The 27,315-nt window shown below is 35.8% G+C and overlaps 1 non-coding gene across 1 annotated transcript, besides 1 other annotated feature; it reads left to right on the forward strand.

Annotated features, from left to right (window-relative positions):
- Positions 1–8,066: 8,066 nt before the first annotated feature.
- Positions 8,067–8,131, forward strand: LOC124900491 (small nucleolar RNA SNORD43). Its single transcript, XR_007068423.1, has one exon. It is a non-coding gene; the product is annotated as a small nucleolar RNA SNORD43 (small nucleolar RNA).
- Positions 26,511–27,012: an enhancer, noted in NCBI's record as "H3K27ac hESC enhancer chrX:93420613-93421114 (GRCh37/hg19 assembly coordinates)". NCBI's record gives its function as "activates a minimal SCP1, AML or CMV promoter by ChIP-STARR-seq in naive H9 embryonic stem cells {active_cell/tissue: H9 hESC(naive)}" and the evidence as "EXISTENCE:reporter gene assay evidence [ECO:0000049][PMID:30033119]".

A 27,315-nucleotide genomic window follows, 5' to 3' on the forward strand; every position in this document is an offset into this window, starting at 1 on the left:
GCTTCTTCCTTACATATTTTAAATTTGGCCTAAAGGTTCCTCCATACACAGTGAACCGTAACCTAACTGGAAGTGTAAACAGACTATAAGATACTCTTGTAGCAATCACTAAGTTTCGGCAAATCACACAGAGCCAATTATTTAAACGGTATTCAAATGAGGCAAACACTAAGCTGTAACCAATCCAGCTGTTTCTGCACCTCACTTCTATTTTCTGTATGTTATTTTCTTTTTCTCTGTCCATAAATCCTCTCTAATCATGCAGCAGTGCCAGAGTTGCTCTGATCCTATTCTGGTTTGAGGGTTTCCTGATTTGCAATTCATTCATTGCTCAAACTCTGTTAAATTTAATTTGTCTAAGATTTTTCTTTTAAAGGTATATAGATACATCTGAAGTAAAAAAAAAAAAAAAAAAAAATGAAAGTTCTAGTCTCCCAGCTCATCCTTGAAGGTGAATGAAAATTAAAAGTTTGGGATAGATCCTTTCAGACTTGTTGTGCTTATATAAATACATAAACAGAGAAACATGCACTACAGTATGTATGATTCAATTAACATCTGGTTTATGGGTAATATTTTCACTTGTTAATGTATTACTGGACATTTAAGTAGACTTGTCATTGTTGCTTCACAAACAAGGCTGAAATGGACATCCTTATACATACATCCTTTTGCACTCTTGAAAGAATAGAGAGACGTAGAAGATAATTGCTGAGTCAAAGGGAATATGTATTTTAAGTTAGGATAAAACTTCTCAATTTACTTCCATATATGTATATCCCACTAAGAGTGTTTGAGTGTATTCTTTATTCTACACTCTCCCCAAAGAGGAATATACCAGTTTTGTTTTTCTTCTTCATTCTTACAGAATAAAATAATATTTCAATAAACTTTCAAATATTTTATGTAAAATATATTGCTGCTTTAATTTTAAGTCTAAACTCCCATCTTTAAAAAGCCGTCATTTATTTAATTCTAAATTCCCTTGAATCTTTAACTTTTCCCCTGAGTATACTTAAAAACTAATAATAATATCTGGTTGGCAATGTTCCATAGTTCTTCCTGCTGTAGTCTAATCCCTTTAAGTTAAAAAAATATTCAAAATCACACATGCCTCTAAAGATCTGTCATTTAGCTCTCATCTTCCATAAGAACTTGATCTATGGGCCAGGCGTGGTGGCTCACCCTGTAATCCTAGCACTTTGGGAGGCCGAGGCAGGCGGATCACTTGAGGTCAGGAGTTCAAGACCAGCCTGACCGACATGGAGAAACCTCATCTCTACTAAAAATACAAAATTAGCCTGGCATGGAGGTGCATGCCTATAATCCCAGCTACTCGGGAGGCTGAGGCAGGAGAATTGCTTGAACCCAGGAGACGGAGGTTGCAGTGAGCCAAGATCACACCTTTGCACTCCAGCCTGGGCAACAAGAGCAAAAACTCTGTCTCAAAAAAAAAAAAAAAGAACTTGATCTATGGATTATCTATCTATCTATCTATCTATCTATCTATCTATCATCTATCTATCTATCATCTATAAAACTTTTACCGCTCCACTGACTCTTTTCTTCAGCCTTAATATATTGTCACATTTTTTCTATTTAAAAGTAATCCTCTTGTGGAATGTAACATCAGTTAAATGGCAGAGTAGGCAGCTCTAAACTACTGTCCTCCACAGAAAAAACAAACAGAAATTGTCCAAACCAAGTTTACCAGAACTCTTGAAAACAGTCAAGGGTTTACCACAACAAAGTGAATGCTGAATCAAGAAAAAGGCAACTTAGAATAGTAGGAAAGCTTTATACCAGTTTTGCTTTCCCTTACCGTACTCTGTCCAGAGCTCATAGGAAGTCTTGACACAGCAGCCCATATTCCCAATGAATACCCCTGGTCCCTGGCAACAAATAAAGTAGGAAATAACTTAACTACAATTTATTATGTTTGTGTAGCTCCCATCTAACCAGTTTGGGAGCTACCTGAAAGATTGAGGAAAACCTATGGCTGACACCATATCAATAGAGAAAAGCTGAAATATTTTCTCTTGACATTAGGAATAAGACAAGGATGCCTATTTAACCACTGCTATTCAACATTGTGTTGGAAGTTCTAGCCCAAGAACTAGGAAAGAAAAAAAATAATAAAAGCCATTCTAATTGAAGAGGAAGAAGTAAAACTCTTTCTGCACATAACATGATCTTATATGTAGAAAACTACAAGGAATCCACAAGAAAGCTGTTACTACTAAAATACAAATTCAGCAAACTTGTAGGATACAAGATTAGCACACAAAAACGAGATATATTTCTATACACCAGAAATAAGCCACCCATAGAGCAAATTAAGAAAATAATTATATTTACAATAGCATACAAACAAATAAACTATCTACTAATAACTTTAAACAAGAAGGTGAAAAACTTGTTCACAGAAAAAATAAAACATTGCTGAAAGAAATGAAAGAGGACGTAGTTAAATGAAAGCCATCCCATGCTCATGGACTTTATATTGGTGAGAGGCAAATACTACTCAAATAAATCTACAGATTCAATGCAATCCTTACCAAAATTCAATTTTTTTAAATTTAAAAATGGAATAACTGATTCTCACATAAATAGGGTATTGTTTGGGTATGCAAATAGCCGAAATAATCTTGCAAAAGAAGAATTAAGTTGGAGAACTTACACTTCCTGATTTACTGTAAAATTTATTGTATAAAGGTACAGTTATCAAAACAGAGTGTTACTGGTATAAGAATAGACATATAGGAGAGTAGAAAAGAATTGAGAGTCCTGAAATAAACCTGTGTATCTATGGTCAATTGATTTTTAACAAAGTTGTCCAGACCATTCATAGAAGAATTTACATTATTTTTAACAAGTGGCTTTGAGACGACCGGTTATCCCTCATTCAAAAGATTAATGTTGGACCCCTTACCTAACACTATATACAAAAATTAACTCAAAATGAGTCACTAACCTAAATATGAGAGCTAAAACCTTAAAATTATTAGAAAAAAACATAGAAGCATAGAAGTAAATATTTGTTATCGTGGCTTCGTCCATCGATTCTTAGACATGACACCAAAAGCGTGAGCAACAAAAGAAGATAATAAAAATAAATAATTTTGACTTTATCAAAATTAAACATTTGTGTACATCAAATGATATTATCAAGAGATATAAATATTATTTGCAAACATATATCTATCTAAGTGTCTCGTATTAAGAATGTATAAAGAACTCTTACAAATCAAAAACCAAAAATTAAACTTTTTTCAAGATGGAGGAACAACAACTTTGCAGTGGACCTCACCAACTTAGAAATAGCAAAATAGTGTGTGCAGATTCACACTGTGAACTTTTATCTAATACAAAACATGTGAATTCAACATAAAAACAAGGTAAAACTTTGGTTACTGGAAAAAAGAAGGCAAGCTACAGCATTTGTGGCAGAGTCTTGTGGAAAACCATCAGTGAATTTCCAAAACATGAGATAGGGAGTGAGTGTCTTTGTGATACACATTCCCACTGGATAACTGGGAGATCCTGGCCATGAGGGAGCTCCTTGTCACTCCTAAGCCTTGTATCTGACTTGCAGAGCAGTGGGAAGACTGTAACAAGGAAAGGACTGGAAAGTGTTCTACATGAGCTTCTCAGTGCGAAGAGAAGGAAGCTATTCCTGGTTCTACCTCATAGTGGGTGGTGTGGAAACCTGCCAGCTAGCAAGTGGGGCAATCAATGGTTTGGAGAGTCTTGGGCCAGGAATTGGTTATCTAGTCTTGAGTCGGAGATGGGCCCCCACAGACAGACCTTGGAGATGACTGTGGCATGGGTTCCAGCCAAGGGTGCTGGAATTGGGCAGCTCCTCTTCATAGGACTGGACTGAGATGAGATATTTCTTAGAGGCATTGTTTTAGCCAAAATGTTGAGTATTACAGCCTGGAGCAATTTCATGGGCTTAAAGCAAACTGCATGTGATTTAACTCTTCCTAATTTGCTGCCAAAGTTGGGCCATGGGAGGATGCCTTGGCAGGTCTGGAGTATAGAAGAAAAGTGTATCCCATTACTGCTCACTAAGCTGTGAAACTGGAGATACCCCTCTTGTGTACTTATGCTCCTTTTTAGTCTTGCAAATTTCTGCAGATTGCTTGAATTTCTTCCCTGAAAAAGGGGCTTTTCTTTTCTACCACATGGCCAGGCTGCAAATTTTCCAAACTTTCGCTGTGCTTCCCTTTTAAATATAAGTTCCACTTTCAGGTCATTTCTTTGCTCATGGATATGAGTTTAGGCTGTTAGAAGCAACCAGGCCACATCTTGAAAACTTTGCTGCTTAGAAATTTCTTCCACCAGATATCCTAAATAATTACTCTCAAGTTCAAAGTTCCACAGGTGTGGTTCCTAAGATGTAAGCATAGGTTATTAATTTTAGGACTTTCTTATTTTCTTACATATATATATATCATATATATATATATGATATATATATATATTCAATGATGTAAATTTTCCTCGAATGTTGCTTTTTCTGCATTTCGAATTTTTATGTTGTATTTTCATTTAGTTCAAAATAGCTCTTAATTTCTTTGTGACTTTTTCTTTGACTCATTTTTCCACTTATCTTTCAGTTGTTGATTTTTAATTTCATTTAATTCCACTGTTATCTGAGAGCATACTTTGTATGATTTCTGTATCTTAAAATTTATTAACATGTGTTTTATGGTCCAGAATGTGGTTTATCTTGGTGAATATTCCATGTGAGCTTGAGAAGAATGTGTATTCTACTGTTGAATAAAGTATTCTACAAATGTAAATTAGATCTATTTGATTGATGGTGCTGTTCAGTTCTCCTATGTCTTTATTGGTTTTCCGATGGATCTGTCATTTTCTGTTAGACAGGTGTTAAATTCTCCAACTGTAAGAGTGAATTTATTTATTTCTCCCTGCAATTCTGTTAGTTTTTGCCCCATGTATTTTGATACTTTCTTTTGAGTAGTGTTAGCACATTAAATCTTTTTCTATTTACTTTAAAAAAATTATATATTGAAAAATTAGCATATGTTTATGGGAGTATATTGTGATGTTATGATCTTAAGTACAATGTAAAATAATTAAATAAAGCTAATTAACTTTTAATATCTCTGTGTCTTTCTATATAAAGTGGATATTTTTCTAGACAGCATATAGTTGGGTGTGAAGGTTAATTTTATGTGTCAACTTCACTGGGCAAAAGAAGGCCTAAATAGTGGGTAAAACTATTCGTGCGTTTCTGTAAGTGTATTTCTAGAAGAGATTAGCTTTGGAATCAGTAGACTGAGTAAGGAAGGTCCGGTTTCACCAGTGTGGGCAGGCATCATTCAAGTCCTTGAGGGGCTGAATAGAATAAAAAGTAGAAAAAGGGTAAATTTTCTCTTTTCTTAAGCTAAGACATCCATCTTCTTCTCTCCTTGGATATCAGAGCTCCTGGTTCTTGGACCTTCAGATTCAGACTGAGCTACACCACTAGTTTTCCTGGTTCTCTGATTTGTAGACAGCAGATGGTAAAACCTCTCAACCTCCATAATTATGTAAGCTAATTCCCCTAAAAATTTTATATCCATATAGCTATAGATTTATCATATTGGTTCTATTTCTCTGGAGAGCCCTCAATAATAGAGTTGGGTCTTGGTATTTTATCCACTCTGTCCGTCTGTTTTTTCATTGGTGTATTGTATTTAGAACACTGAAGTTTAAAATAATTATTGATATAGTTGAATTACCATCTACCATATTTGTTACTGTTTTCTATTCTTTTTGATTCATAATTTTGTCTATGACTCTTTTTCTGATTTTAATTGAGCACATTATATATTCCATTTTTTCTCCTCTCTTAGTTTGTCTATACTTTGTGAAATGTTATTCAGTGGTTACTCTGGAGTTTTCAATGTACACTTACAATTAATCCAAGTCCACTTTTAAATAATACTATACTATTCAGAGATAATGCAAGTAGTTAATAGAGATTCACAATTATTTTCTGATGTTTCTTATACCATTGCCATTTATTTCAATTTATCACAAACTATATTCACTGTAAAACATTATTACTGTTATTATTTTGAACAAAGTGTTATCTTTTAGATCAATTAAGAATAAGAAAAGTAAAATAGGTTAATTTACCTTCATTTATTTCTTCTCTAAGTCTCTCCCTTTCCTCATATATATCTGAATTTATGACTTACATCATCTTCTTTTATTCTCAAAAAATTTCTATTTTTTTAAGGAAAGACTTTATTTGAAAGACTTTTGCACAAGGGAAGGATATAATTACAGTAAAGAAAATATTCTGACCATAAGATCTGCAAGCATTCAAAGTTTAGACAAAAATAGTTTTTATTTTCCTTTTTTTAATTCTCTGAAGGATTTCTTCTAAAATTTCTTGTATGGCAGGTTTGCTTGTGACAGATTCTCTCAATTTTTGGTTTTCTTAGAAAGTCTTTATTTCTCCTTTGCTTTTGAAGGCTTTTTAAACCATCCTTTTCAAAGGAAATGAAGTTTTAGTTTGGCTGATTATTTTCTTTCAACACGTTTAACATTTCACTCCACTATTTTGTCTTTTTTTTTTTTTAACTTTCATGGATTCTGAGGAGAAAGTCTGATTTAAATCTTATTTTTGCTCCTCTGTTGCTGTACTTTTTTGTCCCCTTCTGGCTTCTTTCAAGATTGTCTCCTTACCTTCGTTTTCTGCTATTTGAACATTGTATGCCTAGATGTAGGATTTTGGTATTTTTTATGCTAGGTGTTCTCTGAGCTTCCTGAATCTGTGGTTTTGTGTCTTTCAATAATTTTGAAAAATTCTCAATCATTATTACTTTATACATTTCCCATATTCTTTTATTTTTTAATCTTTTGGTATTCCCATTATGTGTATTTTATACCTTTTGTAACGGTCCCACAATTCTTGGATATTATCTTCCATTTTTAAAATTCTTTTTTTCTCTTTCCATTTCAGTTTTGGAAGTTTCTATTGACAGATTTTCATACTTACTGATTCTTTCTTTGGCTATGTCCATTCTGTTTATTAGCCCATCAAATGCATTCTTTATTGTTTTTACAATGTTTTACGATCACTAGTATTTCTTTTTAATTGTTTCTTGAAGTTTCCATCTCTCTGCGTATATTACCTGTCCTTGAATGCTTTCTACATTTTAAAAATACACTACTTAATATATTAATCATACTTGTTTCAAAATTTTGGATGACAGCTTTCTGCTATAACTGTGTTTGATTCTTGTACTTGCTTTCTCTCTTCAAACTATTATTTTTGTCTTTTAGTATGCTTTGTAATTTTTTATTGAATGTAAGACATGATGTACTGGGTAAAAAGAGCCTAGGTAAATAGGCAGTTAGTGTGAGGATTTTGCTTAGCAGGCCAATAATTCATCTGTATTTACTATTTGCTGTTGTTCTATGGGTCAGAGGCTAACATTTCCTCTGTCATCCTACTGTCTGCCTCCCCCTTTGCCTTTGGGTTTTCCTAGAGACTTCTTTTTTTTCTTTTTTTTTTTTTTGAGACAGAGTCTCGCTCTGTTGCCCAGGCTGGAGTGCAGTGGCGCGATCTCTGCTTATTGCAACCTCCGCCTCCCAGGTTCAAGCAATTCCCATGCCTCAGCCTCCTGAGTAGCTGGGATTACAGGCACACGCCACCACGCCCAGCTAATTTTTGTATTTTTAGTAGAGACGGGGTTTCACCACGTTGATCAGGCTGGTCTTGAACCCCTGACCTCATGATTTGCCCACCTCAGCCTCCCAAAGTGCTGGGATTACAGGCGTGAGCCACCGCGCCTGGCCGAGACTTCTTAAATAAGATCTGAGCCATGCGGTTCTTTCAGTTTTAATCCTGTTAGTTATAATAGAGGAACCCATTTGACGTGGTGGTAAGGTTGGGGTAGGGGAAACATTTTACAGTCCTATGATAATGTCTCAGTCTTTTATTTAGCCTTTGTGCCTGGGCAGTGCTTATCATTTGTGCCATAAGTGCTTATCAATTGTTTCTTATTTTCTGCCCTCCCCGCAAGGTGAAACAAGAAGGCTAGAAGTGACTGGAGTTGTTGATGGATGGACAGAGACATCGTGCTGATTGCCATGTTCTGATTGAGCTTAAAAGATGACTGGAGTCGGGTAATTTTTGCCTCCAGTTTGGTCATGCTCTGGATAAACTCAATGTGGTCAGATTCTGGTTAAATAGTTTTCTTTGAGGGCAATTTTTTTGTTGTTGTTGTTAAGGAGAGCAGAATGCTCTAGACCTATTTTTAAATGGCAATTTTTCTTTCTCTCTATTGGCAGAAGGGAATTTTTCTTCATAGTACATTCTCCCCAACGACTTGGTGGGGATCCTAGAGGTAGCATTCAGGAACGTGTAGGGGCTACCACTAAAACTGGGACTCACCGCAATTTTTAAATCTCAAATGTGTCAAGACTGAGCCTCCAGCAATTTGTCAATTACATTTTAAGTGTTTATACTCTGGTTCCAGTGGTAGGCTTCTACTTCTGAGTTTCTGCTCTGGTAATCTGTTATTCTCTGTATTCATCTGTATTTCCAATTTTGGAGCACTGATTTGCCCAGTGACCTAAATTCTCTAATGCATCCAAGAAGAGCTACTGACTTTCGGCTTATTCAACGTTTTTCTTCATGTTGTTGAGGCCAGCATGCATTAGCTATTTATCCTGATGCTCTCCCTCTCACTGCCAATCCCAACAGGCCCCAGTATGTGTTGTTCCCCTCCCTGTATCCATGTGTTTTCATTGTTCAGCTCCCACTTATAAGTGAGAACATGAGGTGTTTGGTTTTCTATTCCTGCATTAGCTTGCTGGGGATAATGGCTTCCAGCTCTATTCATGACCTGCAAAGGACATGATGCATAGTATCATGCATCATGATATGATTCCTTTTCATGGATGCATAGTACTCCATGGTGTATATGTAGGATATTTTCTTTATCCAGTCAATTACTGATGGGTGTTTGGGTTGATTCTACATCTTTGCTAGTGTGAATAGTGCTGCAATGAACGTATGCATGCATGTGTCTTTATAATAGAATGATTTATAATCCTTTGGGGATATACCCAGTAGTGGGATTGCTGGGTCAAATGGTATATCTGGTTCTAGGTCTTTGAGGAATTGCCACGCTATCTTCCACAATGGTTGACCTAAATTACATTCCCACCAACAGTGTAAAAGCATATCTATTTCTCCACAGCCTCACCAGCATCTGTTGTTTCTTGACTTTTTAATAATCACCATTCTGACCGGTGTGGATGGTATCTCATTGTGGTTTTGATTTGCATTTCTCTAATGATCAGTGATATTGAGCATTTTTCATGTTTGTTGGCCTCATGAATGTCTTCTTTTGAGAAGTGTCTGTTCATGTCCTTTGACCACTTTTTAATAGGGTCATTTGTTTTTTCTTGTAAATTTGTTTGTTTCTTGCTGAACAATATCGATCAGTTCACAGTGAATATTTTTTTAAGACCATTAGCTTCAGTATGAATTAAGAGACATTGATGATTCCTTTGACCAAAAGCATTTTCCATCCTATCTCCAGCTTGCTAGGATGTCCAAGTTAGTCATTTCTATAAGCAAAGGCACTGAAAATATTTTTAAAGACAACATTCTATTATCATCAGTTACTTTATCAAATTAGATATTCAACCAACCCATTCCTGAAGGGAGGTGAGATGAGGTAAGTTTTTATGAGTGAGAGAAAGGATAGGAAATGAAAAAATGCAGAGTAAGGACAGGCTTATGTGATTCTGTCATCAGAAGAGAGCATGAGGACCCTGGATAGACAGACATGAGGGTACGTAATAAAATTTAGAAAAACAGTTGCCAGACACATTTAAAGCAGTGTGTAGAGGGAAATTTATAGCACTAAATGCCCACAAGAGAAAGCAGGAAAGATCTAAAATCAACACCCTAACACCACAATTAAAAGAACTAGAGAAGCGAGAGCAAACACATTCAAAAGCTAGCAGAAGGCAAGAAATAGCTACTATCAGAGCAGAATTGAAGGAGATATAGACAAAAAAACTCCTTCAAAAAATCAGTGAATCCAGGAGCTGGATTTTTGGAAAGATCAACAAAATTGATAGACCACTAGCAAGACTAATAAAGAAGAAAAGAGAGAAGAATCAAATAGATGCAATAAAAAATGATAAAGGGGATATCACCACCGATCCCACAGAAATACAAACTACAATCAGAGAATACTATAAACACCTCTATGCAAATAAACTAGAAAATCTAGAAGAAATGGATAAATTCCTGGACACATACACCCCCCCAAGACTAAACCAGGAAGAAACTGAATCTCTGAATAGACCAATAACAGGCTCTGAAATTGAGGCAATAATTAATAGCTTACCAACCAAAAAAAGTCCAGGACCAGATGGATTCACAGCCGAATTCTACCAGAGATACAAAGACGAGCTGGTACCATTCCTTCTGAAATTATTCCAATCAATAGAAAAAGAGGGAATCCTCCCTAACTCATTTTATGAGGCCAGCATCATCCTGATACCAAAGCCTGGCAGAGACACAACAAAAAAAGATAATTTTAGACCAATATCCCTGATGAACATCGATGCAAAAATCCTGGCAAACCGAATAAAATACTGGCAAACCAAATCCAGCAGCACATCAAAAAGCTTATCCACCATGATCAAGTGGGCTTCATCCCTGGGATGCAAGGATGGTTCAACATATGCAAATGAATAAATGTAATCCATCACATAAACAGAACCATCAACAAAAACTACATGATTATGTCAATAGATGCAGAAAAGGCCTTTGACAAAATTCAACAGCCCTTCACGCTAAAAACTCTCAATAAACTAGGTATTGATGGAACATATCTCAAAATAATAAGAGCTATTTATGACAAACCCACAGCCAATATCACACTAAATGGGCAAAAATTGGAAGCATTGCCTTGGAAAACTGGCACAAGACAGGGATGCCCTCTCTCACCACTCCTATTCAACATAATGTTGGAAGTTCTGGGCAGGTCAATCAGGCAAGAGAAAGAAATAAAGGGTATTCAGTTAGGAAAAGAGGAAGTCAAATTGTCCCTGTTTGCAGATGACATGATTGTATATCTAGAAAACCCCATTGTCTCAGTCCAAAATCTCCTTAAGCTGAGAAGCAACTTCAGCAAAGTCCCAGGATACAAAATCAATATGCAAAAATCACAAGCATTCCTATACAGCAATAACAGACAAACAGAGAGCCAAATCATGAGTGAACTCCCATTCACAATTGCTACAAAGAGAATAAAATACCTAGAAATCCAACTTACAAGGGATGTGAAGGACCTCTTCAAGGTATCAAGGAGAACTACAAACCACTGCTCAATGAAATAAAAGAGGACACAAACAAATGGAAGAACATTCCATGCTCATGGATAGGAAGAATCAATATTGTGAAAATGGCCATACTGCCCATGGAAATTTATAGATTCAATGCCATCCCCATGAAGCTACCAATGACTTTCTTCACAGAATTGGAAAAAACTACTTTAAAGTTCATATGGAACCCAAAAAGAGCCCGCATTGCCAAGTCAATCCTAAGTAAAAAGAATAAAGCTGGAGGCATCACCCTACCTGACTTCAAACTATACTACAAGGCTACAGTAACCAAAACAGCATGGTACTGGTACCAAAACAGAGATATAGACCAATGGAACAGAACAGAGGCCTCAGAAATAACACCACACATCTACAACCATCTGATCTTTGACAAACCTGACAAAAACAAGAAATGAGGAAAGGATTCCCTATCTAATTAATGGTGCTGGGAAAACTGGCTACTCATATGTAGAAAGCTCAAACTGGATCCCTTCCTTACACCTTATACAACAATTGATTCAAGATGGATTAAAGACTTAAATGTTAGACCTAAAACCATAAAAACCCTAGAAGAAAACCTAGGCAATACCATTCAGGACATAGGCATGGGCAAGAACTTCATGACTAAAACACCAAAAGCAATGGCAACAAAAGCCAAAATAGACAAATGGGATCTAATTGAACTAAAGAGCTTCTGCACAGCAAAAGAAACTTCCATCAGAGTCAACAGGCAACCTACAGAATGGGAGAAAATTTTTACAATCTACCCATCTGACAAAGGGCTAATATCCAGAATCTACAAAGAACTTAAGCAAATTTACAAGAAAAAAACAAACAACCCCATCAAAAAGTGGGCAAAGGAGATGAACAGACACTTCTCAAAAGAAGACATTTATACAGCCAACAGACACATGAAAAAATGCTCATCATCACTGGTCATCAGAGAAATGCAAATCAAAACCACAATGAGATACCATCTCACACCAGTTAGAATGGCTATCATTAAAAAGTCAGGAAACAACAGATGCTGGAGAGGATATGGAGAAATAGGAACACTTTTACACACTGTTGGTGGGAGTGTAAACTAGTTCAACCACTGTGGAAGATAGTGTGGTGATTCCTCAAGGATCTAGAGCTAGAAATACCAATTGAGCCAGCGATCCCATTACTGGGTATATACCCAAAGGATTATAAATCACATATACATTAGGTATTTTACATTAGGTATTCCTCCTAATGCTATCCCTCCCCCTGCCCCCCGCCCCATGACAGGTCCCAGTGTGTGATGTTCCCCACCCTATATCCAAGTGTTCTCATTGATCAATTCTTGCCTATGAATGAGAACTATAAAGACACATGTACATGTATTATTATTGCAGCACTATTCACAATAACAAAGACTTGTAACCAACCCAAATGTCCATCAAAGATAGACTAGATTAAGAAAATGTGTTACATATACACCATGGAATACTATGCAGCCATAAAAAAGGATGAGTTCATGTCGTTTGCAGGGACATGGATGAAGCTGGAAATCATCATTCTGAGAAAACTGTCACAAGGACAGAAAACCAAACACTGCATGTTCTCATTCATAGGTGAGAATTGAACAATGAGAACACTTGGACATAGGGTGGGGAACATCACACACTGGGACCCGTCATGGGGTGGGGGGCAGGGGGAGGGATAGCATCAGGAGGAATACCTAATGTAAATGATGAGTTAATGGACACAGCAAACCATCATGGCACGTGTATACCTATGTAACAAAACTGCATGTTGTGCACATGTACCCTATAAATTAAAGTATAATTAAAAAAAAAGAAAAGAAAAACAGTTGCTAACTTTATACTTTTCTGATATTGGCTGCATTTTTTATATCTTATTTTTTAAGTAATGCATTACTCAAAAGTTATCTTTCCTACCTAGCTTTCCTTGATCTTCAAAACTGTGTATTTCCCCCTTCTTCTCCATAACCCTGGTTACACTCTGCCTTATGTTTAATTACATATCTCTATCTCTATATCTATCTATCTATCTATCTATCTATCTATCTATCGATTGATCTATCTTCTCTCCCCATTCTAGATTGTAAGCTATTTTAGGGCCAATCAGGTGATTGACTCTAGGCTGAAAGTTGCTGGAGCTGAGTTGCATCATAACCAAGTGAGGAAATCCTTATTTATAGATTCCTGGGCCTATCCCAGATCACCTATGTATAGTTAGAATTTTTTATGCTAACATAACCTTGACACATGATTATGTGGGGACAAGAACAGAACAGAAAATTAGCTTTAATAACAAGATGTATAATTAATTTTTAGGCACATTAAAGTTTGAGAAGCCTTTATCTGGGGAAACTGCCTGGGAAATGCTTGCTGATCAAGAAAAATAATACTTTTTGCAGTGACTTCTTTAGTTTCTGCAGCCAGTGGTCATTTTTTTTAGCTTGGAGCAAAGAGTAGGTGAAGTTTGTCTTGAAACCCTATTCTTTCCCCTCTTATTATGTCCCTGGCATTTCTGCCCAAATCCCCTTGCTTCCAGAACCCAATTTTTTCTCAAACTGATCTAGTGATCAACTAATATCTATGTTGTTAATTGACACTTTTCAATTTTATTTATTTATTTTTAGAGACAGAATATTCCTTTGTCACCCAGGCTAGAGAGCAGTGGCATGATCATAGATCGTTTCTGCCTTGAACTTCTGGGCTCTAGGTATTCTCCCATCTCAGCTTCCAGAGTAGCTGGGGCTACAGAAGTGTTCCACGGTCCCTGGATAATTTAATACATTTTATGTAGAGGGAGGGGCTTGCTATCTTGCCCTGCTAGTCTTGCACTTCTGGGATCAATTGATACTCCCACCTCGGCCTCCCAAAACATTGGGATTATAGATATGAACCACTTCTCTCGGTCTACTTTTCAATTTAAAAAGAGATAATTTTTATGGACAATAAGGCTTTACATCCAAAAATAATAATTTTATAAATGAGAAATTATAGATTTTATGATAGGCAATGAGAGAAATATTAGGGTGTTAGGGGCTTTTTCTGGTACTATTTAGACTTCACACTGTTTAGATATACATTCAGCCTATACCCAAATGTAGCCCTGCTCATTTTTTGCAGCCACTTCTGCACAATATGCCTTATAAATTAGAAGAGGTCACAGACATTTTTTAAAAAGAAGATTTGGGAGCTCTAAATATGCTGGACTGAATGATTCATGAGTTTCCCTGAAACTCAATGATTTAAAAATATTCTATAATTGTTTTTCAGATGTTTTCCCTGTGGGCTCAGACAATTCAAGTACAGTTGAGAAGAACAGAAAAGGCAAAAGGGTTTCACATATCTCAAATTACAGAAATGCATACCTGCAAAAACATAGGACTAACAAGACAAAAGACAGAGGCATCATAGAGCCTATTTCAAAGGCTATTTCAGCCAGATATTATGGTATGGATGTATAGCAGTACAAGGTAATTCAGATAAATTTAAGAGTATTAAAATGCCAATAAACATAAAATTATCAATTCAGTAGAGATCTATTTCACTTCATTTAGTAATGTTAACCAGCACTCCTAAACCTAAAATATAACCTTTCAGTTCTCTTTGCAAATGCTATTCTTTGCTGTTACCATTAAAATCATTTTAATGGGGCTATTTCTTAGAGTGTTAATAATCCCTCAGAAAGAATTCATGTTAAGTTATAACATAAGTTACAATATCTTTATTAATTAATTTTATTTTATTATTATTTTTTGAGCACGATCTCGGCTCACTGCAAGCTCCGCCTACCGGGTCCATGCTATTCTCCTGCCTCAGCCTGCTGAGTAGCTGGGACTATAGGCGCCTGCCACAACGCCCGGCTAATTTTCTTTCTTTTTTTTTTTTTTTTTTTTGTATTTTTTAGTAGAGACGGGGTTTCACCCTGTTAGCCAGGATGGTCTCGATCTTGGACCTCGTGATCTGCCCGCCTCGGCCTCCCAAAGTGCTGGTATTACAGGCGTGAGCCACTGGGCCTAGCCTATTAATTAATTTTAAACCCTGAATATTTTCTTCCTCCACCCTGTTACAATGCAGAATCTCTCTCTCTCTCTTTCTCTCTCTCTCTCTCTCTCTCTCTCTACCCCTCCCTCCTTTCTTTCTTTCCGTGGTCTTCAATTATTTAGCATACTGACTTTTGCCTTTAGGCTTGTCTCTTTAGCATTACAGAATAGCTACTGCAGTTGCAAATATCACATTGTCCTCACATTTCCTTATTACCATTATTTAGAATGAGAATAGCTTTCTCAAAAGCTACCTGGGTGGAATTTTCTTCGTGGCTCATTGGCCATGACTTTGCCAATGAATATCAAAAGAAGATGAAATTACCGTGATTTACTTAAACTTATCAATATTCGTCTCCTGGGATGTGGAGAAGGCACAACCTCCGTATTAAAGCACCTGGCTGTCCAGAGCCTGACCAAAATCAGGGCTCTGTTACTACGGAGTGTACAGAGTTGGGTAGGATAGAAAATGGCTATTGTGAGATAAAAATATCAGCAATAGGGGGTTTAAATATGGTATTTTGGAAAAAAAGCCTCAAGTCTCTGCTTTTCAACAAATAGCTGTTTGATGTTAAGTATTTTCCTCAATTTTCTCTTCAGTAAATGACAGTTTGACTAAATCAGTGATATTATGTGGTAACTGGCATAACATCTCAGAGGAAAATACCCAAAATACCTTGGAGAATTTTTCAGAATGCATACCCAAATAGCATCCCTTCTCAGAATCATGAATTCTGAGTTCCTTCTACCAAAATAAAGAAATGTTTTTGAGAGTAACTATTTTAACAGTCATACTCTTCAAGTATATTAAGGCAAAAAGAATGTTTGAGAATTCTTGGAATAGATAATTTCTAGGTCTCCTATAAGTACTGTCCTACTTTGTGTATATATTCTAAAACAATGCATTTCATAAAAGGGTTTATGTATTTTTATGTCAGTTAACAAAATTTAATTTAATTTATATTTTTAAAATATAGCTAAAATTCAATTTACAGAAATGCATTTCTCTATAACCATTATCCTGAAGTTTGTCATATAGTTCTCATATGTTTGATAAAATAGAACATTCCCAGAATTTTCCTCAAATAGCAGTTCAGATAAAATAAAAAAGACAAAATCAAATACTAGTTTCAAATACAATATTAGATATGAGGAATGATGCTGCAAATATAAAGCAATAGATGACCTCTAAGGTCTTGTTCAGTTCTAAAATTATTTATATCTAGGCAATCTTCAGGCAACCACTTACAGAACTGTTGTTTATTTGTATGCCGTCTTTGGATAAATTTCTATTCTATTCATTTGTGCATTATAAAATGGGATTATCATGTTTTTGTTATTGAGTTGTTTGAGTTCCTTATATATTCTGATTTTTATCCTTTTCAGATGGATAGTTTTCAAATACTTTCTCCCATGTTGTTGTCTGTGGCTTCACTTTGTTGATGTCTCCTGTGCTGTGCAAAAGCTTTTTAGCTTGATGTAATCTGTCTCGTGTTCATTTTTGCTTCTATTGCCTGGGCCTTTGAGGTATTACCCAACAAATCTTTGATGAGAGTAAGGTTCTGTTACATTTCCCCAATGTTTTCTTTTAATACTTTCATAGTTTCAGGTCTTACATTTAAGTCTTTAATCCATTTTGAGTTGATCTTTGTCTATGGTAAAGGATGGGGACCTAGTTTCATTCTTCCATGTGCAGATATCCAGTTTTCCCATCACCATTTATTAAAGAGACTGTCTTTCCCCAATGTATGTTCTTAGCACCTTTGTTGAAAATGAGTTGGGTGTAAGTGTGTGGATTTACTTCTGGGTTATTTATTCTGTTCTGTTGTTCTGTAAGTTTGTTTTTTGCCAGACACAATGCCATCTCTTTTGGTTACTGTAGCTTTGTTGTATAATTGGAAATCAGGTAGAGTGATGTCTTCAGCTTTGTTTTCTTTACTCAATACTTCTTTGGCTATCTGGGGTCTTCTTTGGTTCCATATTAATTTTACAATTGCATTTTCTATTTCTGTGAAGAATGTCATTGGTATTTTAAAAGAGATTGCATTGAATCTGTAGATTACCTTGGGTAGTATAGCCAATTTTACAATATTAATTCTTCTAACACACAAGCATAGGATATCTTATCATTTTTTGTTTCCCCTTCAATTTTGTTCATCAGGGTTTTTTTAGTTTTTGTTATAGAGATCTTTCACTTATTCAGTTAAGTCTATTACCAGCATTTAATTTTGTTTGAGGCTATTTTAAGTGGGATTGCTTTTTATTTTTTGTTTCAGATTGATCACCTTTATCATATATGAATGCTACCAATTTTTCTATGTTGATTTTGTATCCTGAAACTTTACTGAATTTGTTCATTAGTTCTAAGAGTATTTTGGTGGAGTTGTTAGTTTTTTCTTAGTATAAGATCATGTCATCAGCAAACAAGAATGATTTGACTTTTTCCTTTCCAATTTAGATGTTTTTATTTCTTTCTCTTGCCTAATGGCTCTGGTTAGAACTTCCATTGTTATTTTGAATAGAAATGGTAAAAATGGGCACCCTTATCCTATTAATTGGATATAGTTTTAAATTATTGTCAAAAAGAAATCTTTGCAGTGTGTAGTAATATTGATGAGATTGTTTGCTTTTTTCCATCATAATTATACCCAAATAGTTATCTATATGAATATTATACTAGAAACAATTTAGAATTAATAAATGGTATACATAGCTGCCACAGGAAAGAAGTTGAGTCTTAAAAAATGTCTTAAAAAATGTGGAAATTATATGATAAAATTGCAGATTTATTTATTGGGAAATATTGTGAATGTTCAGCATTTTATTTATATTAGTCAATGTGAGCATTTAATATTAAGCTGATTTAATTTGTATAAAAAGTGCACATTTTTAAATTACTATAATAATACATATTAGAATATTGATCCAGTTCCCAATTGATACAACAATGAAATGTTTTATAATTCAAAGAGGTAAACTGTTTTAGCTTTGTAACATTGAATTTAGAGTCCAGGTTGATATCTTTGATTTCCCACTTATTATCTAGGGGATTGTGGGCAAATAGTTTAATTTCTGTTTTCCCAGGCTCTTTTTGAGGATTAAAAAAGTTAAAAATTATAAAGGACTTTAGAACAGTACATGGCATATTGTGAGCATTCAGAAAATGATAACATTTATTTGTCTATTACTTTATTTATATGAAAATGGCCGTAGGAATGTAGCTAAACAAAAAATAAGAACAATATCTTTTAAAGCATCAGAACATTAAAAGGCGTAGTCAATGCATCCATAGGTATAAATGAAAGATAGGAATTTATTCTTATTCAATTGCTCAATTTAAAATATCCTTAGTGAAGTGAACTTTTTTTTACGCTACTGGTGAGAGTGTAAATTAATAGTACGAATTTTTTTTTTTTTTTTTTTTTTTTAGGCAGAGTTTCGCTCTTGTTGCAATGGCATGATCTCGACTCACCACAACCTCCGCCTCCTGCATACAAGCGATTTTCCTGCCTCAGCCTCCCAAGTAGCTGGGATTACAGGCATGTGCCACCACCCCAGCTAATTTTGTATTTTTAGTAGAGATGGGGTTTCTCCATGTTGGTCAGGCTGGTCTTGAACTCCCGACCTCAGGTGATCCTCTGGCCTCGGCCTCCCAAAGTGCTGGGATTACAGGGGTGAGCCACCGCGCCCAGCCTAATAGTACGAATGTTTTGAATGAAAGTTTAAGAATACTAACAGAAGCCTTAAAAATACCCATACCATTGACCCAGAAATTTATTTAACTTAGGAAGTTATACTAATGAAACTGCAAGAAGACTTCTATGCTGTGTGATGCAGTTTCACCACTGCCATCATTGTCTTTTCTATCGCTGCAGGTTATGTCATGCTCAACTATCACTCTCAAATATGTGGTCCCTTACCTGCTGAAATGCAGTCTCCCAAATCCCTAGGAACTAAAGTTTCAATATCCTAACATCTTAACTTTATTGCTTGTGTCTCCCCTGGGCCCCTTCAGGTTTCCAAGATCAAGAAAATAGAGCCCTGGCAGAGTGATACTTGAGGTTCTTGACCCCAGTGCAGAGATCCGCAAAGGTACACTGCTTGACCTCCCCTGCTTGGTGAGTTTGTGCTCTGTGCCTTCTTATTAATAAGGTGACAGGTTAGCAAAGAAGCATAATTTCAATTGGCTTTTCTAATGTGACCTTTGTCAACTGTATTTTGATATCTCACTGGTGAATGATAGGAGACATGAAGGCATCTATGATCTTTATGAGGCTGAATGTATCAACCTTCAAAACATGTTGGCAGCAGCATATGCCAAAAAAAGAGTATGGATACAGGGATACCAGTTCAGGCCTGTTATTGTATGTGAGGAATGATATTAGCTTAGCCTAGACTGCTGTTAGTGTAGAATAAGATAATTAGAAAATGTTAAGAAGTAATTTGGAAATAAAATCAACAAGACTTAGTTGATTAATTTGGTGTGAAGAGTATGAGAATAGAAGGTCTTATCAAGGTATCAGAAATGACTTTTAGCTTTCTGATTCAAGAATCTAGCTGTATAATGGTGTCATTTCCATAGATGGGGAAGTTTATTGGGGAAAATAAGATGGAGATGAACAGTTGAATTTTAATTATTCCTATTTGAGATTCACATGTGTTTTCCAAGTAGGAATGTAAGATATGCAGTTGTAACGTACTAATTAGGGTATTTCTAAGTCTAAGGTGTAAAATTGAGATACATCAGCAAATAGATGGTATATAAAGCTATAGAAGTACATAAGGTAGCTAAGGAATAGTTGTGAGCATGAGAAGAAAATAGGGCTTAGCATAGAGGCTTGAGTAATTTTAACAATAATGTGTCAAGTCTAATAGAAGAGGATGAACTGGCAAAGGACATTAAAAGAAACAGATAAAAAGATAAGAGGAAATTCAGGAGAGTGTGATTTACTAGAATCCAAGAGCAAATAATGCTTTAAGAACAATGTTGTAAATACTGTCAAATGTTTAGAGGCCAAGACCAGACCAACTGAACTGAGAATAATGATATGAATATCATTGGTGAAATTAGCATAAGTTTTAGTAAAATATTTGGAACAGAAGTCAAATGAGTTGGTTAAATATTGTTCAAGAGGTAAAAATGGCAACAAAGAGTGCAGAAAACTCCTTCTACAAGTTTGGCTATGAAGGGCAGGAGATGGAGCAGTAGCTGGGAGAGGACATTGAATCCAGGGAATTACCATTATTTAAAAAGAAAGAGTAGGCAAATGGGCAGTACAGAAGAAGAAGCTGAAAATACAGGGATGGGGTAAAAACTGATAAGACCTCTGGGTCTCTGATAAATGAGAGAAGGATCGAGGAATGAAGGATCAAGAGTATAGATGTTGTAATCATGCTTCTATTTAGTTTTCTCCCATGATTCTTGCAATAATTTTCTCACCATTCCTCTTTCTTATGACCAACTAAGAATTCCTTTATTCTGGTCTGTAAAGTTTTTGTGTACTATGGTCTTGGTGACTCTTACAAAGTTAGAATGATAGAGTCTTTAGGAGATGGGCTTTGGAACCAGTCAGGCCACTTTGAGTCATTTTTTCTGCTGCTTTATTACCGCTTAAACTTGGGCAAGTTGAAAAATCTTAAAGTTTCTTCATATTTAAAATAGGAACAATAATAACTTACTACTAGGAATAATGTATTAAATAAGATAATGCATGTGAAACACTTAGCACAATATCTGATATATAGTAAGTATTGGTTCCATGCAATGCAACAGATTTGCTGCCACTTTACAATAATGGCATCTTGGCAAAGCCAGTTGTGAACTTGAATTGTAGATATATTAACTGCATCCCTATTACATCCACATTTTAAACAGTTTGCAACCTTGTGGATCAAATTGAAATCACCAAATATATTTTGTTAATTCCATAGAATTTTAAATATACTTTACATTTTTGCCAGCATTTAAATGTCAGGGGATTTTACATATATATTTGGATTTTTGACTTCTCATGAACATTGATAGATTTGCACTTATGTATGAAAACACAAGATCATGCTAATAGCTTCATTAGTTCAGTTTACCTGTTTTACTCCTGAAGGCACCAGAGTTTACAGCCCCTATAATAAGACATCCCTAAACCTTGAGGCTGTTGCTCAGCAAGAGATCAAATTTATGACTTTAGCAAAGTTTTCGTAGACATTCATTCAGCTACTTGTAAAATAATTGAAGACAAACCTCTAAATATTTTAAACTGTATTTTGGTCTAATACATATAATTTACAAATGAAAAAAATCAGAAATCAAATTCTCTCCTTAGACACATATTTTTATCTGGAGTATTTGCAAGTAGGAGGACTGACAAGAGAGAAATAACCTTATTTTTAATTTTTAAAGCTAGCTACGAATGTCGTTTAATTTTTTTCTCCCAACTATAATTTTAGTTTCAGGTGCTACATGTGCAGGTTTGTTACATGGGTAAATTGTGTGTCATGGGGTTTTCTTGTACAAATGATTTTATCACCTAGGTACTGAGCATAGTACCCAATAGGTAGTTTTTTGATCCTCACCCTTCTCACAGTCTCTACCCTCAAGTAATAGCTAGTGTCTATTGTTCCCCTCTTTGTGTCTGTGTATACTCAATATTTAACTCCCACTTATATAGGAGAACATGCAGTATTTGGATTCCCGTTCCTGCTTTCATTGGCTTAGGATAATGGCCTCCAGCTGCATCCATGTTGCTACAAAAGACGTGATTTTATTTCTTTTTACGGCTGCATAGTAGATACATGCATGCATTTGTTCATTGCAGCACTTTTCACTATAGCAAAGACATGGAATCAACATAGGTGCCCATTAATGGTGGACTGGATAAAGAAAATGTGGTACGCATACACCAATAAATAACTTTAGACTTTGATTAAAAATAATCTCTTCAACATCCTCATCTACCTTCATGTCTAGATTTAAAATAACTTTTATAGGGTCAGTCAGGAAAGCACTTCACCAAAATTAAAGCTCAGAAATAACATATCAAAATGTTCAGGCCTATTGCCCATCTTACTATCTATTGTAAAATGACCACTTTCCAATAAATGACCCTCACCGAGTGAGAACAGAGAGACCAAAGGTTACGTGAGCTTTTCTTTTATTTGAAAAATGGTGTCTAATATTATATCCAGCAATCTTTATCTGTCAGTTTTGCTGCTAGGCAATGACCAGTGCCTTGGGAAATCAATAATACTGTTCAAGTTTATTTTAATTAGAAAAGTGTTACAGTTTATTCCTTAATAATAGGTGGCTGTCATATTTAATACCTACATATTAAAATTAAAAATCAGCAGAGTCATTTCAACTGTAAAAACATATTCTCCCACCTCACACTAATGTTCCTAAATTAGGGGAGTCAATCATATGTATATACCAGAGAAACAAAAGGAAAAATATTACCCAGAACCCTTTGTGATTCTGTTTTTCCAACACTTGTTACCAAATCTCTGAATTGAATTTCCATGTCTTGAAATATCTAAGGTAGTTTCTATTTTCCTGATCAGGTACTGACAGATAATTCAGATGACAACAGTAAGTAGGTGTAGCAGCAAGGAAATATTAGTGATATGGTTTGGGTCTGTGTCCCCACACAAATCTTACTTCAAATTATAATGCCCAGTATTGGAAGACGGGCCTGGTGGGAGGTGATTGAATCATGGGAGTGGATTTTCCCCTTGTTGTTCTTGTAATAGCGAGTGAGTTCTCATGAGATCTGGTTGTTTGAAAGTGTGTACTACCTCCCCCTTCTCTAACTCTTCCTCCTGCTCCTTCCACATAAGTCGTGTCTGCTTCCCCTTACCTTTCTGCCATGATTGTAAGTTTCCCTAGGCCTACCCGGCCATGCTTTCCATACAGCCTGCAGAACTGTGAACCAGTTAAACCTCTTTTCTCTGTAAATTACCCAGTTTCAGGTATTTTTGTATAGCAGTGCAGTAACAGACTAATACAGTTAGTTACAGTGAATGCCTCCTACCCCCATTTAAGCACTGATTTTCTATTTTAATCTCACCACATGCATACAAATAAACATATACAAATTAGAACTACTGTATATAAAATGGCGAGCCTCAGATATCAACACTGGCCAAGTCTATTCATAGCTAAGAAATATAAAAATCTTAGCTATCAGAATTTCAACATTTCTAATTCCATTTGTAAGAACATATCAGGTTATCGTAAACTGATATCACTTAGTATTTTGTTCATCTAGCTTACATTGTGTTGATTCAAAGCACAGAAAACAACCTAAGTATGATTTAATTTCCAGTGTTTGGTTACTTACTGGAAATAATGTGCCAAAAATAATTACACTTAATACCAGATGTTTTTGGAGTCGAATTAATATAATATTTTTAAAATTTAGATTTGTTTTGTGTTTGGCTTAATTGCAAGGAGAGAATGCACTGATAATACCAACACAAATATTTTATTTTGTGTGATAGTAAGTAAGTTAATGATCTGGAATCTTGTTCCCCAGGTCTTCGGTGTCTGTGACTAGTTTTAGTTGGACTTTCAGGTCCTGATTCTATCTGGACAAGAATGTATGTTTGAATTGTAAAGGGATCTTCAGATTCTAGAATACGGTATTTCAAAGTCAGATATTGCAAAACTCTAGCCAGCTTTCCCCTGGGCAACATTGCTAGGGGGATATGACAGTGGGGAAAACTGCACTGACATGTACTTGTTTACTGTTTTTGTTTTACTTCAAAACAAACAAAGACAGAGGAAATATGAATTGAGAGGACATAGAAAGCATAGACTCATGGATTTGAAGATACATTGCTTAATATTTGTCCAGTGTTATAGGACTAAGCCTGGTAAAAAACACAAAGTTAATAGTATCTTCTTTTTAAAGAACATATCAGAGAGAGCAATGCGCTCTTAAGTAAGAAGATACAATTAACTGTGTATTAGTAATACTCAGTATGATAGTAATGTGTACCAAAGTGTTAAATCTCTAGAATCCTACAAGTATCCAATGATTTTCAAGAGGCAAATAGGTATGTTGTGCAAATTGAAAACAAGAAGATATTCAAACAGGGTTCCAAGGATATTGGGGAAATATTTGAAAATGATAGACTTCACTCTATTAATATTTTTGACTTTACTGTGGTAAGAATACAACATGAGATCTAACCCTTTGGTGGACTTTCAAGTGTACAATACAGTATTATTAGCTATAGGTACAATGTTGTACCTATAGTTAGGTACAGATCTCTAGAACTTACTCATCTTGCATAACTGAAATTTTATACCCATTGATAAGCAACTTTCTATTGTCCCCTTCTCCCAGCCCCTAGCAATCAACATTCTCCTCTCAGCTTCCAGGTGTTTGACCATTTTAGAAACCTTATGTAAGAGGAATCAGTGTTTGTCCTTCTGTGACTAGTGAATTTAACTTAACAAAATATTCTCGAGTTTCATCTATGTTGCCATATATTGCACGATTTCCTTATTTTTTTAAGCTGAGTAATAATAATGTTCCATTATATGTATAAGCTACATTTTCTTTTTCTATTCATCCATCAACAGGCACTGAGGTTGTTTCCATATCTCGGCTATTGTAAATAATGCTGCAATAAACATGGGAGTTTAGATCCTGATTTCAATTCTTCTGGATATATACCCTGAAGTGGGATTGATGAATCATATAATAATCATATTTTTAATATTTTATGTAATGTCCACTTTGTTTTTCACAGTTGCTGTGCTATTTTGGATTCTCATCAACAGTGTCCATGGGTTCCCTTTTCTCTACACCCTCATCAACATTTATCTCTTGTCTTTTTTTAATAGCCATCCTGATAGATGCAAAAAATAATTGTCAAGACCAATATCAAGAAGTTTTTTCTCTATTTTCTCTTTTAGGATTTTTTTGCAGTTTCGTATCTTACATTTAAGTCTTTAATGCATTTTGAGTTGGTTTTTGCATGTTGTAATCTACTTCTATTCTTCTTAATGTGGATATCTATTTATCCCATCACCATTCATTAAAGAGACTGCCTTTTCACCATTGTGTATTCATGGTACCCTTGGCAAAGAGTAGTCAAAGATATAGGTGTGGGTTTATTTCTGGGCTCCCTATTCTGTTCCACTGGTTTATATGTCTGTTTTAATGCACTGTCATAGTATTTTGATTACTATACCTTTGTAATATAGTTTGAAATCAAGGAGTGTGGTGCCTGCAGCTTTGTTTTTTCTTGTTAATATTGTTTTGGCTTTCTGGCATCTTTTGTGGTGCCATATGACTTGTAGGGCTTTTTTTAATATCTGTGAAAAATGTCATTACACTTTTGATAGAGATTGTATTTAATCTGTAGATCACTTTGAGTAGTGCAAACATTTTAATAATAATAATTCTTCCAATCCATGTTCATGGGATATCTTTTTATCTATTTGTGGCTTCTTTCATTTTTTTCATCAATGTCTTACAGTTTCCAGAGTACCAATCTCTTACCTTCTTAGTCAAATTTATCCCTAAGTATTTTATCATATTTATGCCATTGTAAATGGGATCATTTTCTTAATTTATTTCTCAGATAGTTTGTTGTCAGCATATAGATGTCAGGTAATTCATATATCTCTGTTTCCTCAGGGTCAGGTTCTGGAGTTTTGTCTTGTTCCTTTGTTCAAATCTTGCTTTCCTTTTCTTCAGTTTTCTTAACTCTTTGTATCTGTGTCTAAGCATTAGAAAAAAACACTACCTATCCCAGTCTGACAATTGGCTTCGTACAAGAAGAAACCTTCACCAGTGAATGCAACCAGTGCTTCTGTGGGCTTGTCAAACCTTATACTAGTCCAAATCATCAATGTTTTTCTTAAGGGCCTGCTAGTGTATACAGCATGTCATACCCTGTTGGTATTTTAAGACAAGTGAAACAGAAACCAATCCTTTGTGTAACATTCAGAGAAGTTAGAATATTGGATGTGCAGAACTGCTCATTTCCTTCTCAGGGATAAACTGGGACCTGGAGTTTTTTCCTGCTTGCTTTTTTTCTCAGCAACGGGGAGGGGCTGTGGCAACTGCTTGCATGGTCCTTTAAACCACCTTCTTTGTTCTTGGTGATCCCCAGGTATTTAGAATATGTCATGCCCCATCAGTGTTCCAAGACAGGCAACACAAACTAGTCTCTTGGGTAGCACCTGAAGAAGTTGGAAAATTGGATGTGTAGTCTAACTCTTTACTTGCCCAGGTATAACCTGGGAGCTTAGTCTGTGCTGAACTGAGGAGAGGAGCTGTGGTGGTTGCCCTCACACTATTTATTTATTTATTTAGAGACAGAGTCTCACTCTTATCACCCAGGCTGGAGTGCAATGGCATGATCTTGGCTCACTGCAACTTCCGCCTCCTGGGTTCAAGCGATTCTCCTGCTTCAGCGTCCTGAGTAGCTGGGATTACAGGCACCTGCCACCACGCCTGGCTAATTTTTGTATTTTTAGTACAGATGGGGTTTCACCATGCTGGCCACGCTGGTCTCGAACTCCTGACCTCAGGTCATCTGCCTGCCTCGGCCTCCCAAAGTGCTGGGATTACAGGCGTGAGCCACTGCGCCCGGCCACCGTCATACTATTTCAAACCATTGGCTTTGTTCTCTGCAGCCCTAGGAATCTATGGTCTGCCTAGTCCAAGACAAGTGAGATGGATGATAGCCCCTTGGGTAGCCCCTGGAATAGATGGGATGTTTGATGTGCTGTCCAACTCCTTCCCAACTCAAGAAGAAGCTGGAAACTGAACATTTCCTCCTGATCATGTGGCACTGTGCCAGGGGTGGGGATTGTGGTGAGAAGGTGTTTCTAAATTTTCTGTAGGTTGCAACGTAGCTGGTTTTGCATTCACCCA

The sequence above is a fragment of the Homo sapiens genome, chromosome X (genome assembly GCF_000001405.40).
Source record: "Homo sapiens chromosome X, GRCh38.p14 Primary Assembly".
Lineage (NCBI taxonomy): Eukaryota > Metazoa > Chordata > Mammalia > Primates > Hominidae > Homo > Homo sapiens.